Raw genomic sequence first — 14,038 nt, forward strand, 5'->3', positions numbered from 1 at the left:
AGGTCAAACAAGGACTTTCTGGGGAAGCAAGTGGCAGGCAGCAGCTAGGCGTGGGCTGCGCATCCAGCGGATTGAGTGTGGGCGGGACCGCCAGCAACCAGGCAGAGGGGCTGTTCTCTGGGTTGGGGTCAGGAACCTCTTCTGGCCTCAGCCCAGGTTGGCAGACATTTCCCTGCAGGGATCCGGGTCCAGGACTCAGGAGGAGGGACAGTCCCACGGGGGTGCTGGGGGGCAGGAATTCCTGGGTGGGCCGAGGTAAGGGCAGCACAGGGTGACCTGGGGCCCTGGGCCCGGTGGAGCTGAGGAGAGGGACAGGCCTGTGGTCGGGGGTCCTAGGTGGGAGGGAGAGCAGAGGGCAGATGCTTTGCGGGTGGAAGAACCACCCTGGGGGGCGGGAGACCCTGAAGGCGCAGGTTTGTGTTTAGATGGAGGTTGCGCTGGCTGGACGGCCTAGGGAAAATGGGTCTGACTGGATGGAGCTGAGTGAGAATGGTGGGAGGCCCTGCAGCCGCCGTGGAGAGAACATGCGCGGGGGAAAGCCCCGGTCCTCCGGCTGGCGAAATGGACCTCTGGAAGGAATGGCCACACGGTGTGAAATCACTGGTGTTTATTGGCTGTGATTCCATCCGGAGAGAACACACGCAGGGGCCCCGACATGCAGGAGGAGGCGCAGGCGCAGGACAGACGGACAGAGGACACCACGGTCTAAGCTAAGCTCGCGGCCCGGGGCGCCATGCGCTGGGAACGGGGTGCGCAGGTTCTACGAGAGGACGCCCTGTCTGCTCAGAGCTGGCTTTGTAAGGTGTGAAAACAGGAGTTTTTAAAAGACACGACCCGGGAGAAGTCAGTGAGAGGGCACAGGGCGAGCAGGACGGACAGCGACGTCCCCGCGGGCCGCGTCGCTGGGGCGCAGAGGGGCGCGGTGGTCTCTGCCCGGAGGGGCGTCGGTCGTTAGTATTGCAGTCTAACGTTATGGCTTCTCTAAAGCTATGTAAGGTCATGAAGGTCAATGCCAAGCCACGCCCTGGCCCGAAACACGTGGAGACTTGATGCATTTTTGATGTGGACGAAAGGGCCCGGGGGCGAGGCGGCGCCTGTCAAGATAAAACTCATTAAATGCAAAGACCTCATTTACCTGAGATTCAACAAATTGTGATGCAAATTAAACATGAATGGAGGAGAAACAGGGGCTCGGATGCCGCCCCGCAGGGCCACCAGGTGGATTAGGCCACACACGCGCCAGCTGCGCGCAGGGAACCCCGCAGGCCCCACCCGAGGAGCTGCCCACGGAGGAGGTGCTGGGCAGGGGCGCAGGGTCTCCAGCGTCCGGTGCCTCGGGCCTCTGCGGCTCCTGTGGAGGGTGCAGTGTTCAATGGCCGAGGGCAGGGGTCCTCCCCAGGGAGAAGCAGCAGCCGCGTGGGCGGAGAGGCTAGGAGGCCGGGCGGGGGGCGAGGACTTGGGAAGAGCGGGGTGACGGGGGTGGGGGCTGGGCGTCCCCCAAACCTATTGCTTTGTTTCCTTTAGTTTAGAAGTGAACACGGCCGTGGCGTTCGTAAGAAGCAAAACCTTCCAGAGAGGAGAGGAAAGGACGCGGACAGAGACGGATGGACAGGGGCGCGAGGGGGCCAGGCCGGGGGGCGGAGAGCGGCCGCGTGCGGACGCAAATACTCACGGCGGAGCGATCCGAACCCCGGAGTCCGCGTGCAGGAGGGGGACCCAGGCCCCGCCGCCCTCGCCCCGCCCGCAGCCCCCCGTCTGCTATGGCTGTGCTCCTGAGTGCGGGCCCGACAGGCGCCCACCGCCGCGAACGCGCGCACAGGGGTGGTCGCGGGGCTGCCCTTCGGCGGCCCTGGCCTCGGGCGCTGCTGGGTGGGCGGTAAACAGCAAGAGAAAGGGGCGTCCCAGGCGATGGGGCTCCAGCCACCCGCGGGCAGAGGAGCACGGGGCGGACTGGGGGGGTCCTGGGGGCGCGCGCCCCTTGCCGGGTGAGGGAGGCGGCGGGCGCGGGCAGGGCGGGCCTGGGGCTATGGCTTATATCGGCGTGGGGGCTGCGCTCTGCTCGTCCCTCAGGGGCCTCCGCGGAGGATCTGTAGGGGGAGGGGCGGGGGCTCCGCGGGGCCGCTGTCCCGCGCGCGGCTACTTCTTGAGCATGTCCTGCAGCGGCCCGGGCAGGTACTTGATGACGGTGTCCAGGATGCTCTCGTCCTCCTCCTCCACCTCGTCCCCGCAGCCCGGCGGGATGGCCTTCTTGGGCCGCGTCAAGCTCCCCTCGGAGTTGGCCTCCATGGCGGCCTGGGCCTCGGCCTCGCGCTCCTCCTTCTTCTTGATGCCGTACTGCGGGGGAGGCGGGGGTCAGGGCGGGGGTCCCGGCGGCTCCCGGGCGGGCCGCAGCCTCCCTGCGCCAGGGACTGGCCCAGGAACCCCCGAAGGCGTGGGTGCGGCCCCCTACCCCACCAGGCACACAAGGACCCCAGAAGGAGAAGAGACCCCACCCCGGGGGGTCCCTGGAGGAATGGGAAGCCCCCACGGAGAATGGGGGCCAGGAGCTGACATGGGGGGGAGCAGGGAGGGGGAGGCTCCCATCTTCCTTGAGAGGAGAGAGGGCTGTGGCCCCACCTCTGGCTCCAAACCCAGCCCAGCCCCTGGCATCCTGCCTTCCAGGAAGCCTCCGGCCCGGGGCAGGGAGGGGTGGGCAGGATGCTGCGTGGCAGAGGTGGGGAGAAACAGTCAACCCGCAGCTGACCCTCCTGCCCAGTGCCTGGTCCACGACCTGCATTCACACTCCCGGGCCTGGCCAAGGCTGCCTGGATGCGGCCGCGGCCCCAGCAGGGCCACTCCCTGGCAGGCCGCTGCAGCTCCGTGGGCAGCCGGCAGAGGGTCCTGGGCTGCGGTCACTTCCAGGCACTGGGTGTCCTGGAATCCCGCCTAGTCGTGCCCTCAGCCAGTATGCCTGGGCCTCACCGACCCCCTGCCCACCCGCGTTTCTCATCTCCCGTGAGTGCGTCTGCCCTCCGTAGTAGCTGAATATTGTCCCCCTCAAATTCATATTGCCTGGAGCTTCAAAGGTGATCTCATTCGGAAACAGGTCTTTGTTGATCTCATAATGGTAAGGATGGGGACGAGGCCATCCTGGATTTGAGGGGCCTCAAGTCCAGTGAGAGTGTCCTTGTAAGAGACAGAAAGGACAGACACCCGGATGGGGGCGGGCATACGAAAGCGGAGGAGGTCGCGAGTGGTCAAGAAACACCAGGGATTCGGGGCCGCCAGACGCAGGAAGGGGCAGGGAAGGGCCCTCCCCCAGAGCCTCCAGAGGGAGTGTGGGATTTTGTTCTTCTGCCCTCCAGGCCTCTAAGTTTTTGTCAGGCCCCGGGGTTTTGGTTTCTAGATCAATACGCCTCCCCACGCCACACTCCTCCAGCCCTCCCGTGAGCCACCAGCCCAGGAAGCCTGTGGTCATGGTCAGGCCACGGAACTACGGAACAGCCTCCTGCTGCCCAGGAAGGTGGGAACCAGTGGGGTTGGGCTGGCCTGGAAGGATTGGGGGCCTGGTGTTGTACGGAGCTGGACTTCCATCCCCTGAACAGGACCCCCGGGCCAGGTCCAAGGTCCTGGATCTGAGATTACAGGTGCTCTGGAGTAGTGAAGGCGTCAGCAGCTGCGTCCAGGAGAAAACTTAGGAGGGGAGTGGGCACCAGCACTCTACAGGACGGAGGAGCACACCGCGGGATCACCAGCCACAGGGAGGGGCCTTTCTGCCCAGGAGGAGCCCCTCCCCTGCCATCTCCTGCTCCTGTCTCAGCAGCCCCTCCCCATAGAAGCAGTTGGTTCTGCTCCTGGTGCTGGGCACCCCCTGGATCTCCAAGGAGGCCCCTCCTTCCTCCCAAATGGAGGGGGGGCTGCCTGTGTGCTCCCCAACCCCACCGAGGGCAGTCTCGGCACCTCTCCCCTCCCCTAGGGCTGCAGGTGGCTCTGGGTGTGGGGGGCCAGGGCCACCTTCAGTGAGATGGAAAGGAGGGCGCCACGTTCCCAGCCGCCTGTGGCCAGACCACCACCTGGCCACTGAGGAGAGAGGGGCCGTGGGCTCGCCCTAGTCCTCAGCAGCCCCTGCGCACTCTTGACAGAGCCGGGACTCCAGGGGTCTCCTCAGTGAAACGAAGAGCACAGGGTAGGAACGTTCTCCGCACAACAGGGGCGACACCCAGAGGGCCCTGCAGGCCCAGAACAAAGCCCTGACCCTGTGGGGCAGCAAGAGCAGATTGGTTCTCGTCCTAGCCATCCACAGCGGGAAGGGCAGCAGCTCCAGGCACGGAAGTGGAGGGAGCATGTGCTCTTCGTCCTGTGGGGCCAGGGGTGTGCTGGGGAGAGCGATGCCACTGGAAGCTAGGTCCGGCCAGAGAGCCTCCCTCCAGCCAGGGGTGTGGGGGTCTGTGCATGTGGCGGCAACATGTGTATCCAGCCCAGGAGGCTGTGCTGCCCACAGCAAAAGCACTCAGGAACATGTGTGTGCTCAGAGGAGCATGCCTGTAACGGCGGAACATGAGTTGTGTGAGCAAAGGAACCTCCCAGGTCAGGGGAGTGACCCTTGGGGCTTGTGGGACCCTGTCTGCAAACGGTGTGGGATCCTTCCTTCTGGGCCCAGGAAGGAGACCCCAGGCCCTGCCACCAGGTTGTGGGACACTCGGAGCTTGGCCTGAAGTGCCAGTTGCTGCAGTGAGGCTCCAGGTCATTCTGAGGCTGAGGTCACGCCGGACTTGGCCTGAGGGCCAGGGTCACTCTGCCGGGAAAACAGGCTCCGGGGCTGGGCTGCACACCAGAGCCTGGCTTCCACGTGGTCTGGCTGAGACCCAGTTCTGAGGCGTCTGCTCCAGAGACAAACGCCCAGGCACACCCAGCCCCAGGCCCACCGTGATGCTGGGCAGCAGCTCTCCAGGAAGTAACACCTGAGGATGGGAGTGGCTGCTGGGGGCGCCCAGGAGGCCCTGACACGTCTGAGGTGAGACCCTGAACCCTGAAAACACGGTATTCGTGAGAAAAAAGGGCAGTGGGTGCTAATCAATGCTGAGAACCAACAATAGGAATGATAGGACCAAACAGCCAGCATTCAGCAACCAGGTGGACACCTCCTAGCCGCTGTGGGAGCTGCGGGGGGTAGGGGGATGCAATGTATTGAGGGAGCCTAGTGGGCCCTCAGAAGGCCCGTGCAGGAAGGCCCAGGTGTGGGCTGCCCAACATGGGTGGCTGGAAGCTTATGCAGGACAAGGGCGGGTCAGTGCGCGGAGCACAGCGGGGCAGTCTCCCTCCTGCTCCCTGGGCCCGGGCCTGTCCAGATGGCTGCCTGACAGGAGGTGCAGGCGCGCTGCTCCTCTGGGAACTGCCTAGGGGGCTGGACACTCCAAAAGGACCCAGTCCCCATCTGCACAGAGGCCTTGGACAGGGCAGCTCAGCGTCTCTTCTCTAACCAACCCCCAAGATGCCGGGGGGTGCCACGGCCCAGAGGAGGCTGGAGGCAGCAGGTGTTCTGATCAGGTGGCCACGCCTGAGGGCAGGGTTCCCCCACCCCAACAGGTGGCCACGCCTGAAGGCAGGGTTCCCCTACCCCAACAGGTGGCCACGCCTGAAGGCAGGGTTCCCCCACCCCAACAGGTGGCCACGCCTGAGGGCGGGGTTCCCCCACCCCCCAAAGGCCACGCCTGAGGGCAGCGTTCCCCCACCCCAACAGGTGGCCACGCCTGAGGGCGGGGTTCCCCCACCCCAAAGGCTCTGTGGAGGAGGACTCTGTGGGGAAGGTGTGGACGTGGGGTCCGGGGGGATCCACTTTGGCAGGGCCTCCAGAGCAGAGAGGCTGGTGCTTCCAAGGCCTGAGGGGCCAGTGGGCTGCGGAGGGGGCTGTTCTTGTGGGCAAGTGTGTGGCCTCAATCCCTGCCACCTGCTGTTCTCTGAGGGGCTTAGACCAAGGCAGGATCGCAGGTTGGTGCCTGGCAGCAAGGTCCGGCCAGCTCCCCATAGGCCTGACCGGCGAGCCCTGCACCCCAGCTGCCAGCTCTGGGCCCCACATGGAAGCTGAGGAGGTGCTTACGCTTCCCCCTCTCCTGGGCCTCACTCTCCCTGGCATCTCCCAGTCTCTGGAGGGTGCAGCTGCTGCATCCTGCCCGGGCCACTCGGTCCCTGACGCTGCTGGCCCTGTCCCCACCTCCTTGGGGTCCCCTCAGCCTGCCCTATCCTGCCTCTGGGGACCCTGAGGAATGACATGGCCTGGAACAGCCAGCGTCCCTCTAGGATCATGCCAGCAGAGGCCGGAGCCCAGGGGACCAGACCCACTCCAGAGACACCTCCCTGGATACACGGACCCACACATAGCCCTCCCAGACCCCAGCCCACCATCGCTTTGTGTCCTTCCCTCAGCTGCTACCCACTGCCACCTCCACTTCTACCCAGCGTCAGCTCTCTCTAGCTCTGCCTGGGGCTCTCTCCTCTCTGTTCCCTGTGTCTCGGCCTTGATTGCTGTCTCTCCCTCTCTCTGTGCCTGTCTCTCCTCTCTTTGTCTCTCTCCCCTCTCTCTTTCCCTCTTTTTGTCTTTTTCTCTGTCTCTCCCTCTCTGTGTCTCTGTCTCTCCCTCTGTCTTCTCTCTGTCTCTTTATCTCTGTGTCTCTGTTCCTCTCTGTTCTCTGACTCCCCCTTCCTTCTCCTCCTGTCCCCGTCTCCCGCTCCTGATACCCACAGTCTCCCGAGCACATCCCAGTGGACTGTGGCTGCCTGGCTGAGATGGTGCATTTTCTCCTGACTTCCTCCTGAAGCCCTGGGTCAGCTGCGGGGCGGGGGGCGGGGAGCGGGGGGCGGAGGGGTGGGCTGGAGGCTTGAGCCAGCACAGCAAAGTCGATCAACAGGAGATCCCTGGAAACGTCCAGTGACCCTGGGTGGGATGCCAGGGCGCCCGGCCCCCACTCCCCATCAGCGGCTTCTCTGCACCCTCCAGGGTGCATGGCGGTGGGCGGGGGGCTGCGAGGGACCGGAGGGTGTGGGGAGAATCCGTGGGTGGGGAGGAGCTGGCCTTTTGGGTACAGCGGCTGCATGTGCCGCACCTGCCCCGCCCCTGCCCTCCCAGCTCCACCTCTGTCCACTTCAGGAGCTCCAGCTTCCCCACAACACCCCGTGAAGCCCACCCTTCCCTGGGTGCGGCTGACACAAGGCCAGGAAACGGCTTCTCCACCTGCTCCAGGTGCCGCCGGCAGCAGGGAGGGGTCCCGGGAGTCTGAACCTTCCCACCCCGAAGCCAGGCCATCTTGGCCCATCCAGGGCAGGGGACTGAGGCCACCTTCTGGGAAACACAGCTTCCGGCCTGCTGGGCCTGCTGCGGCCCCTACCCTCGGGGCCAGGGCACGGGGTGAGCACTGCGCCCCAGGCAGCACCCCAGGCCCCTTCTACGTGGGATGTGAACATCTCCCACCATGCCCGCTCACCCCTGGCTGGAGACTCCTCCAGGCTGATGTCTGTGCCCACCCGGCTTCCAGCCAGGGCCGTGCTGGAGCCACCGAGGAAGCCGGAGCGGCTGTCGGGACCCAGGCTGCTCCCTGTGCCTCGTGCCCCTCGGACCTGGCCGCTGAGGGGACCGGGCTGAGTGGGAGTGACCTTGCGTGGCTGTCCTGGTGCTGGCAGCCACTCTGGGCCGCCTCGTGAATCCCAGTGGGTGCCCCCCTCCCTGAGTCCTCACTCCAGGCCGGGCTCACCTGAGAGCGCACCCCCCATGCCAGGTGGCCGCCCCACGACCCCTCGGCCCAGGGCCCCAGGCAGCCAGCCAGGCTCCACGCAGGGCTGCGCATCGGAATGCGGGCCTAGGAAGCCCGCCAGGGCTGGCGCTGTGGTCAGGAGCAGGAGGGGCTGGGCCCCACAGAGGGAGCCCAACCCGGAGCCCCCACCCCTCACCCCTCCGCCACTCTGAAGCCCCCAAAGGGTAGGAGGCCCAGGGGGACGCCCGCCCCTCTTCCGGGCAGCCCCTTCCACCCAGGCGGGATCTGGGTCCCCGCTGGACTCAGGGCCGCCTTCCCGCAGGCGGGGCCGGCCCGGCGCGCACCTTGTCTCGGATGCCCTGGCGCACGGCCTCGCGCTCCGCCTCCATCTTGGCGTACTTGGCCTTGCGCTCCTCCTCCGCCTGGCGCAGCGCCTCCTGCCGCTCCTCCTCCTTCTTGGCGGCGTCTGGGTCCTTCTCCTCGTCACCCCCCAGCATCTTCCCCATGTCCTTGGTGGCCCCTGGTACAGAAGTTGGTGATTCAGACCGCCCCATTCAGATGTCCAGGGCCGGGCTAGTGTCTCAGCCACACTCCCCCACCTTCTGGCCGACCCCCCAAACCCTCCATCCACTCGACCCTCTGGCTGCCCCCACCACCCTCCAGCCGCTCCTCCCACCTCCATCTGGCCCTGACCCTCCTGCCCGGGACCCTCCATCCAGTGTGCTGGGGTCTCCTGCTTTGCTTTCTGTTCCTCAAGAGACACAGGCAACTCCGTGGGGGGAGGGAGAGTGGCGCTGTGGTTGCGCGTCTGTATGCACCTGTGTGTGACTGCGTGCTTATGCGTACGTGTGGCTGTTGTGGTTGTGTTTGTGTGTGCACCACGTGGTCGTACATCTGTATGTGGTTCTGTGTTTGTGTCATATGCATGCCTGGCTGTGTGGTTGTGCATGTGTGTGTGGTTGACTGCATGCGGTTGTGTGATCAGGCTTGTCGTCTTGTGGTTGCGCGTGCAGTTGTGTGTGAGCTTCCAGGGGTTGAAGCGTCTTCTCTGGTCATGTGTCCAGCAGAGGCCTGGCCTCCTGGAGGTGGTGCGGTTCAGCCATCTATGCAGGCAGTGGGTTGAGGGGCAGGGCTGGCTGTCAGAGGCAAGGTCACCAAGTCTGACCCCTGGGGCAGAAGCTGGCATGGGGGCTGGCAGGGGCCCTGCTGGGGCAGGAGCTGGCATGGGGGTTGGCAGGGGCCCTGCTGGGGCTGCAGGGGACCGCTTGTTACTGGCACCCAGGCCCTAATTGCTCTGCGGTGCTAGTCACTACTTTTCTCATGAGCTGCTGATTCACAGGCCCCACAAACACCTCCCTAAACAGCTCTGCAACTCAGCCCACAGGACAGATATGCATAATTACGGGCTCTGAATACAGCAGGCACTGCGGGGAGCCCTGGCCCTCGGCAGCTCCAGAGAGCAGAGCAAGCTGGCTGGACCCAGCACACAGGTGTCACTGAGGGAGGTGACTTGGCAGAGCGGCCAGGCTCCTCCATGGCCACTTATAGCCCTCAGCGTTGCAGGGGTGCTCCTGGACCAGCCTCGTGTGTGTGAGGGGACTCTGGCCACACGTTGCCCCTGCAAATGCCGCTCTCCCCCCGCGGCCACCCGGCCCCCTCTCGAGGTGCTCCTCAGTGGTGAGGCACTGGCTCTGCCCCCTCCTTGAAGGTCTTGCCTCTGGGCTCTGCCCCCTGGATGCCAGACCTCCTAAGGACTGCCCCCGACCAGCTGAGCCCATGCCTCGGGTAGAGATGTCAGGTGAAATTGTGGGTTAGACTAACACCACCCAGCCACTTTCCACCTGGGTCCAGGTGTGCCCCCCACCTCGTTTCTGTGGATTCAGCAGCTCCATGTCCCTGGCGCTCTGGGTTCCCCCTCGCCATTACTATGCTGATACCGGGAAGCTCCGTGCTATACGGAGCCTGGGGCGACGCCCTCGCCTGTAGCTATCTGTGCCAGTGCTGCCTCTGCCAGTCACTCAGGAGTGAGCTCCCTGTCGAGGGTGGGCAGGAGCTGTCATTTGGAAGGCCCGAGCTGTTGGTGGGAGGAGAATAGCTTTTTGGTTGAGTGCTCTGGGCTGAAGGTGTCACTCAGACAGGGCCATGCCTGCATCCTGCAGGCGCCGCCGACTGCACCTGTTTCCCTGCCCCCCATATCCTGGCTGTCTGAAGCTATCACAGGCAGTGGGGTGTGGGGAGAACGAGCCCCTCTTGCTGCCCTCGTCGCTGCTGGGGACAGGCAGGCAGCCTATGCTAGGCACTTGGCTGATAGCACAGATCTGGACTCCTCAACAGAAAGCTAAGAGGCTTGTGGTCAGTTTTCAGCCGCATCTGCCATGTTTTGCAAAGCAGATTTTAGGCCCATGACTCAAGGGAAACTGGGTCACAGTAGAGTTGCTCCTGGATTCTTCTAACAGTCCCCAGTCATTGGACCAAAATCTCTCTGCCTCCAGCGGGCTGTCTCTAGCAGGTGTGTGGGGGAGGCAAGGACAGCCCCCACAGTCCTGACTGCCTTTGTGCAAATCTTAACCCCCATGAGAAAAGCTAATTCACCCTAAAGTGAGTGACCCGTGGCTCTTTCTCCCTCCTGGAAAGGACTGGCGTCTATAAGGAGGTGGGTGAGCCTGGTCTCTCCCCACATTGCTCTCCTGATGGAAGGGGTTCCTGGCAGGGGTGGGGAGCTGCAGGGCTTCTGCAGCTCAGTGGGCTGCCCCTTCCCTCCCCTCCAGCTGATCCCATAGGCTCTGGGTCTGGTCGCGGGAGCCGGCATTTATAGAGCACCAGGTGTGCTGCGCTCTGCTCCAGGGGTGCCTGTGGGGGGCCCTCCCGCTCTGAGAGTGTGGAGGCCCCACTTGAGCCCTGGGCTGGTCCAGGCGCCAAAGGCTTCTGGAAGGCCCACCTCTAAGGAGCCGAGGATTCGTGCTCCCCGCAGGCTGCAAAGCCACTAGGCTCAGAGGGACCCGCCGCGAACCTGGGGAGCGTCACAGATGCCGCCCACGCCCCCCCGCTTTTCGGCCCGGGTACTGCAGGGAGGCGCCTCCAGAACCACTTCCAAAAGCTGGGAATTGGGCGCAGCCAGGAGCGCAACAGAAACTGCGGGAAGCTTGTTCCTGGCACAGAAACCCAAAGTGCCATTTGCTCTCCCGGCACAGACGCCGGAGCGGCGAGACCGGCGCAGAACGGGCGGCCCCGAGCACTGCTGCGACCCCGCCGGCCTCGACCTCGACACCCCGCGACCCCGCCGGACCCTGGAAGCATGAGCTGCATCCCGCATCCGCAGGAGGGCGGCGCTGCGACCCACCCCCGCCCCCGTTTCCAGAGGAGGCCGCTGCGGCGCGGGGCGGTCCCACGTGGTGCCTGAGGCTGGGACACCCCGACTCTGATTGCAGGGGGGTCGGATCCGAGGCTGGGGGTCCCGCAGTCTGGCTGGGGTCCGCTACTGGCCTCGACGTACAGGGGCCGACCCCACCCCTACCTCGTTCTCTGAGCCTCAGCTTCCCCCCGTGAGAGGTGGAGGCGGTGGGGGGGCGCACCGGGCACGACCCCGCGGCAATGACGGGGCTGGCAACGCCCCCCACAGCGGCACAGGCGGATAAACCCTCTGGGGAGGGAGTTCAGTCCCAGCGGGAGGGGCCCTTCCCACCCGGGAGCTCGCCCCAAACCGGGTGGAGAGGGGGTGGGGGGGGGGTGCAGATCGCGGCGCCTCCCTGCCCTCTGGCCCTGCTGAGACTCCACCGCCCACCCCACCTCCCGGTAGCAGAAGGGGCAGAAGCAGAGACGTTTCCTCTGCAGACATCGGGGAGGGTGGGGTCAGGGCCGCGCGTTTCCAGCCCTGAGGCTCTTCCCGGGAACCCACCTCCCAGACCTTTGCTGGAGTGGCACCCACGCTCCCGAGACGCCCAGGCAGTTTCTGGGGGGATCTGCTTATACAGAGCAGCCGCCCCTGAGGTCAAAACCCTGCCCAGGGTTCCCTTACACGGTAAGTACAATGACAATGGCTGCATTCAATTTAGTATACGTTATACATAATGTATATGTAAATACTACATCCATTAAAGTTGATTTTTAAAGCTTCATTTTGAAATAATTGTAGATTTACGGAAGAGTCACAAAGATTGTATAAGAGGGCTCCCTAGACGCTGACATTGCAGCCACCGAGTGTTCGTCAAAGCTGAGACCTGGACATGGTACCAGCGACCACCCCACTGAAGACTTCATGTGGGCCTCACCACTTTTCCAGATCCGCCTCCCGGGTTCACGCAATTCCCTTGCCTCCGCCTCCTGAGTACCTGGGACTACAGGCACGCGCCACCACGCCTGGCTAATTTTTGTATTTTCAGTAGAGACGGGTTTCACCGTATTGGCCAGGGTGGTCTCGAACTCCTGACTGCCTGATCCGCCTGCCTCGGCCTCCTAAAGTGCTGGGATTACAGGCATGAGCCACTGCACCCAGCCCAATGTTAATTTTTAAGAATGGAAAAATGCTTTTTAACTTGAAATAAAACTACGGGGAAAATTATAGAATTGAATGAAAAATTAAACAATATCTAAATAAAGAAAGACACTTGTTATTTTTCTGGCCAGGGTAACTCCACACGTAAAGACGTCCATCCTCCCCAAACTCCGAAGAATTAAGAAGAAAATTCTGTGAAATCTGACAAGCTGAGTGTTGCATACAGACCTGCAAAAGGCCCATTTGCCAGGACAGACACCTGAAGGAAAAAGAGGAGAGTGAGGTCCACCAGATACCAAGACAGAATGATGATGGTGCAGTGGGAGGAAGACAGACAACGGGCCCAGAGTGGGGAGCCCATCCCCAGACCCCCACAGACACAGGACCCCCACGTGGGACCAGAGACAGAGGTGGAGGCTCAGGACCCTGGAGAAAGAATGCAGTATCCCCAGATGGGACAGGATACTTAATGGGAAAGAATAAAACTGGACCCCTGCACAACACACAGACACATTCTTATTGATTGTAGAACTAAACATGAATCCCAAATAAATGTAGGCAAAGAAAAACACAGTCCTTGCCACTCTCTGGCCCGTCACCAGCTGTATTTCCCTTTGTAGTTGTCCATTACCTGAAATGGTGCCATCTGTTGTTTGTTTGCTTCTGATTGCCAGTCTGCTAACAGAAAGCCCCATGGGAGCAGGCAGTCAGCTCGGAGCTGCAGCCCTGGCACCTAGAGCAGAGCCTGCCACACAGCAGGTGCTCAGCAAATAGTCTAGCTCTGTCGCCCAAGCTAGAGTGCAGTGGCAGGATCTCAGCTCACTGCAACCTCCACCTCACGGGTTCAAGTTATTCTCCTGCCTCAGCCTCCCAAGTAGCCAGGATTACAGGCGTCTGCCACCATGCCTAACTAATATTTGTATTTTTAATAGAGACGGGGTTTCACCGTGTTGGTCAGGCTGTTCTCGAACTCTTGACCTCCTGATCCACCCGCCTCGGCCTCCCAAAGTGCTGGGATTACAAGCGTGAGCCACTGAGCCTGGCCACAACCTGACTTTAAGACTTACTGTAGGCCGGGCGCGGTGGCTCACGCCTGTAATCCCAGCACTTTGGGAGGCCAAGACCGGCGGATCACGAGGTCAGGAGATCGAGACCATCCTGGCTAACACAATGAGACCCCGTCTCTACTAAAAATACAAAAAAGTAGCCGGGCATGGTGGCGGGCGCCTGTAGTCCCAGCTACTCGGGAGGCTGAGGCAGAATGGTGTGAACCCGGGAGGCGGAGCTTGCAGTGAGCCAAGATCGCGCCACTGGACTCCAGCCTGGGCAACAGAGCGAGACTCCGTCTCAAAAAAACAAAAAGACTTACTATAATCAAGGCACTATGGTATAAACAAAAGAACAGACATATAGGCCAGGCACAGTGGCTCACGCCTGTAATTCCAGTACTTTGGGAGGCCGAGGTGGGTGGATCACCTGAGCTCAGGAGTTCAAGACAAGCCTGATGGACATGGTGAAACCCCGTTTCTACTAAAAATGCAAAAATTAGCTGGGTGTGGTGGCGTGTGCCTGTAATCCCAGCTACTTGAGAGGCTGAGTCAGGAGAATCACTTGAACCCAAGAGGTGGAGGTTGCAGTGAGCCGAGATGGCACCACTGAACTCCAGCCTGGGTGACAGTGAGACTCCGTCTCAAAAAAAAAAAAAAAAAAAAGAACAGACATCTAGATCAATGGAAAGTATAGAAAGTCCAGAAATAGACCCATACATATATTGTCAATCGATTTTTGACAGAGCTGCAGAGGGAATTCAATGAGGGTGAGG

At 62.5% G+C, this 14,038-nt stretch overlaps 1 protein-coding gene and 1 long non-coding RNA gene across 4 annotated transcripts in view, besides 8 other annotated features; one reads left to right on the forward strand and one right to left on the reverse strand.

Moving 5' to 3' along the window:
• Positions 1–592: 592 nt before the first annotated feature.
• CPLX1 (complexin 1) overlaps positions 593–14,038 on the reverse strand; it is a 41,173-nt gene continuing 27,727 nt past the window's right edge. For both annotated transcript variants that reach the window (NM_006651.4, XM_011513391.2), the window contains 2 exons: positions 8,069–8,244; positions 593–2,334 (listed from right to left, as the gene is read on the reverse strand). In NM_006651.4, coding sequence (NP_006642.1) covers positions 2,137–2,334; positions 8,069–8,244 — 374 coding nt within the window. In that variant the 3' untranslated portion in view covers positions 593–2,136. The remainder of the gene's footprint in view (positions 2,335–8,068; positions 8,245–14,038) is intronic.
• Positions 747–1,618: an enhancer, noted in NCBI's record as "OCT4-NANOG-H3K27ac-H3K4me1 hESC enhancer chr4:778899-779770 (GRCh37/hg19 assembly coordinates)". NCBI's record gives its function as "activates a minimal SCP1, AML or CMV promoter by ChIP-STARR-seq in naive and primed H9 embryonic stem cells {active_cell/tissue: H9 hESC(naive and primed)}" and the evidence as "EXISTENCE:reporter gene assay evidence [ECO:0000049][PMID:30033119]".
• On the forward strand, positions 3,410–12,785 carry LOC105374339 (uncharacterized). 2 transcript variants are annotated; one of them, XR_925031.4, is made up of 4 exons: positions 3,410–3,502; positions 3,585–4,993; positions 10,916–11,742; positions 11,857–12,785. It is a non-coding gene; the product is annotated as an uncharacterized LOC105374339 (long non-coding RNA). The 2 variants fall into 2 exon arrangements; XR_925032.4 differs by having other exon boundaries at positions 3,599–4,993.
• Positions 3,591–4,092: an enhancer, noted in NCBI's record as "H3K4me1 hESC enhancer chr4:781743-782244 (GRCh37/hg19 assembly coordinates)". NCBI's record gives its function as "activates a minimal SCP1, AML or CMV promoter by ChIP-STARR-seq in naive H9 embryonic stem cells {active_cell/tissue: H9 hESC(naive)}" and the evidence as "EXISTENCE:reporter gene assay evidence [ECO:0000049][PMID:30033119]".
• Positions 4,093–4,592: an enhancer, noted in NCBI's record as "H3K4me1 hESC enhancer chr4:782245-782744 (GRCh37/hg19 assembly coordinates)". NCBI's record gives its function as "activates a minimal SCP1, AML or CMV promoter by ChIP-STARR-seq in naive H9 embryonic stem cells {active_cell/tissue: H9 hESC(naive)}" and the evidence as "EXISTENCE:reporter gene assay evidence [ECO:0000049][PMID:30033119]".
• Positions 5,099–5,598: an enhancer, noted in NCBI's record as "H3K4me1 hESC enhancer chr4:783251-783750 (GRCh37/hg19 assembly coordinates)". NCBI's record gives its function as "activates a minimal SCP1, AML or CMV promoter by ChIP-STARR-seq in naive H9 embryonic stem cells {active_cell/tissue: H9 hESC(naive)}" and the evidence as "EXISTENCE:reporter gene assay evidence [ECO:0000049][PMID:30033119]".
• Positions 6,831–7,640: an enhancer, noted in NCBI's record as "H3K27ac-H3K4me1 hESC enhancer chr4:784983-785792 (GRCh37/hg19 assembly coordinates)". NCBI's record gives its function as "activates a minimal SCP1, AML or CMV promoter by ChIP-STARR-seq in naive H9 embryonic stem cells {active_cell/tissue: H9 hESC(naive)}" and the evidence as "EXISTENCE:reporter gene assay evidence [ECO:0000049][PMID:30033119]".
• Positions 8,928–8,977: a silencer, noted in NCBI's record as "silent region_15110". NCBI's record gives its function as "represses an Ori minimal core promoter by ATAC-STARR-seq in GM12878 lymphoblastoid cells {active_cell/tissue: GM12878}" and the evidence as "EXISTENCE:reporter gene assay evidence [ECO:0000049][PMID:35858748]".
• Positions 10,018–10,137: an enhancer, noted in NCBI's record as "active region_21135". NCBI's record gives its function as "activates an Ori minimal core promoter by ATAC-STARR-seq in GM12878 lymphoblastoid cells {active_cell/tissue: GM12878}" and the evidence as "EXISTENCE:reporter gene assay evidence [ECO:0000049][PMID:35858748]".
• Positions 10,488–10,717: an enhancer, noted in NCBI's record as "active region_21136". NCBI's record gives its function as "activates an Ori minimal core promoter by ATAC-STARR-seq in GM12878 lymphoblastoid cells {active_cell/tissue: GM12878}" and the evidence as "EXISTENCE:reporter gene assay evidence [ECO:0000049][PMID:35858748]".

This window comes from Homo sapiens, chromosome 4 (assembly GCF_000001405.40).
Source record: "Homo sapiens chromosome 4, GRCh38.p14 Primary Assembly".
NCBI classification, from domain to species: domain Eukaryota; kingdom Metazoa; phylum Chordata; class Mammalia; order Primates; family Hominidae; genus Homo; species Homo sapiens.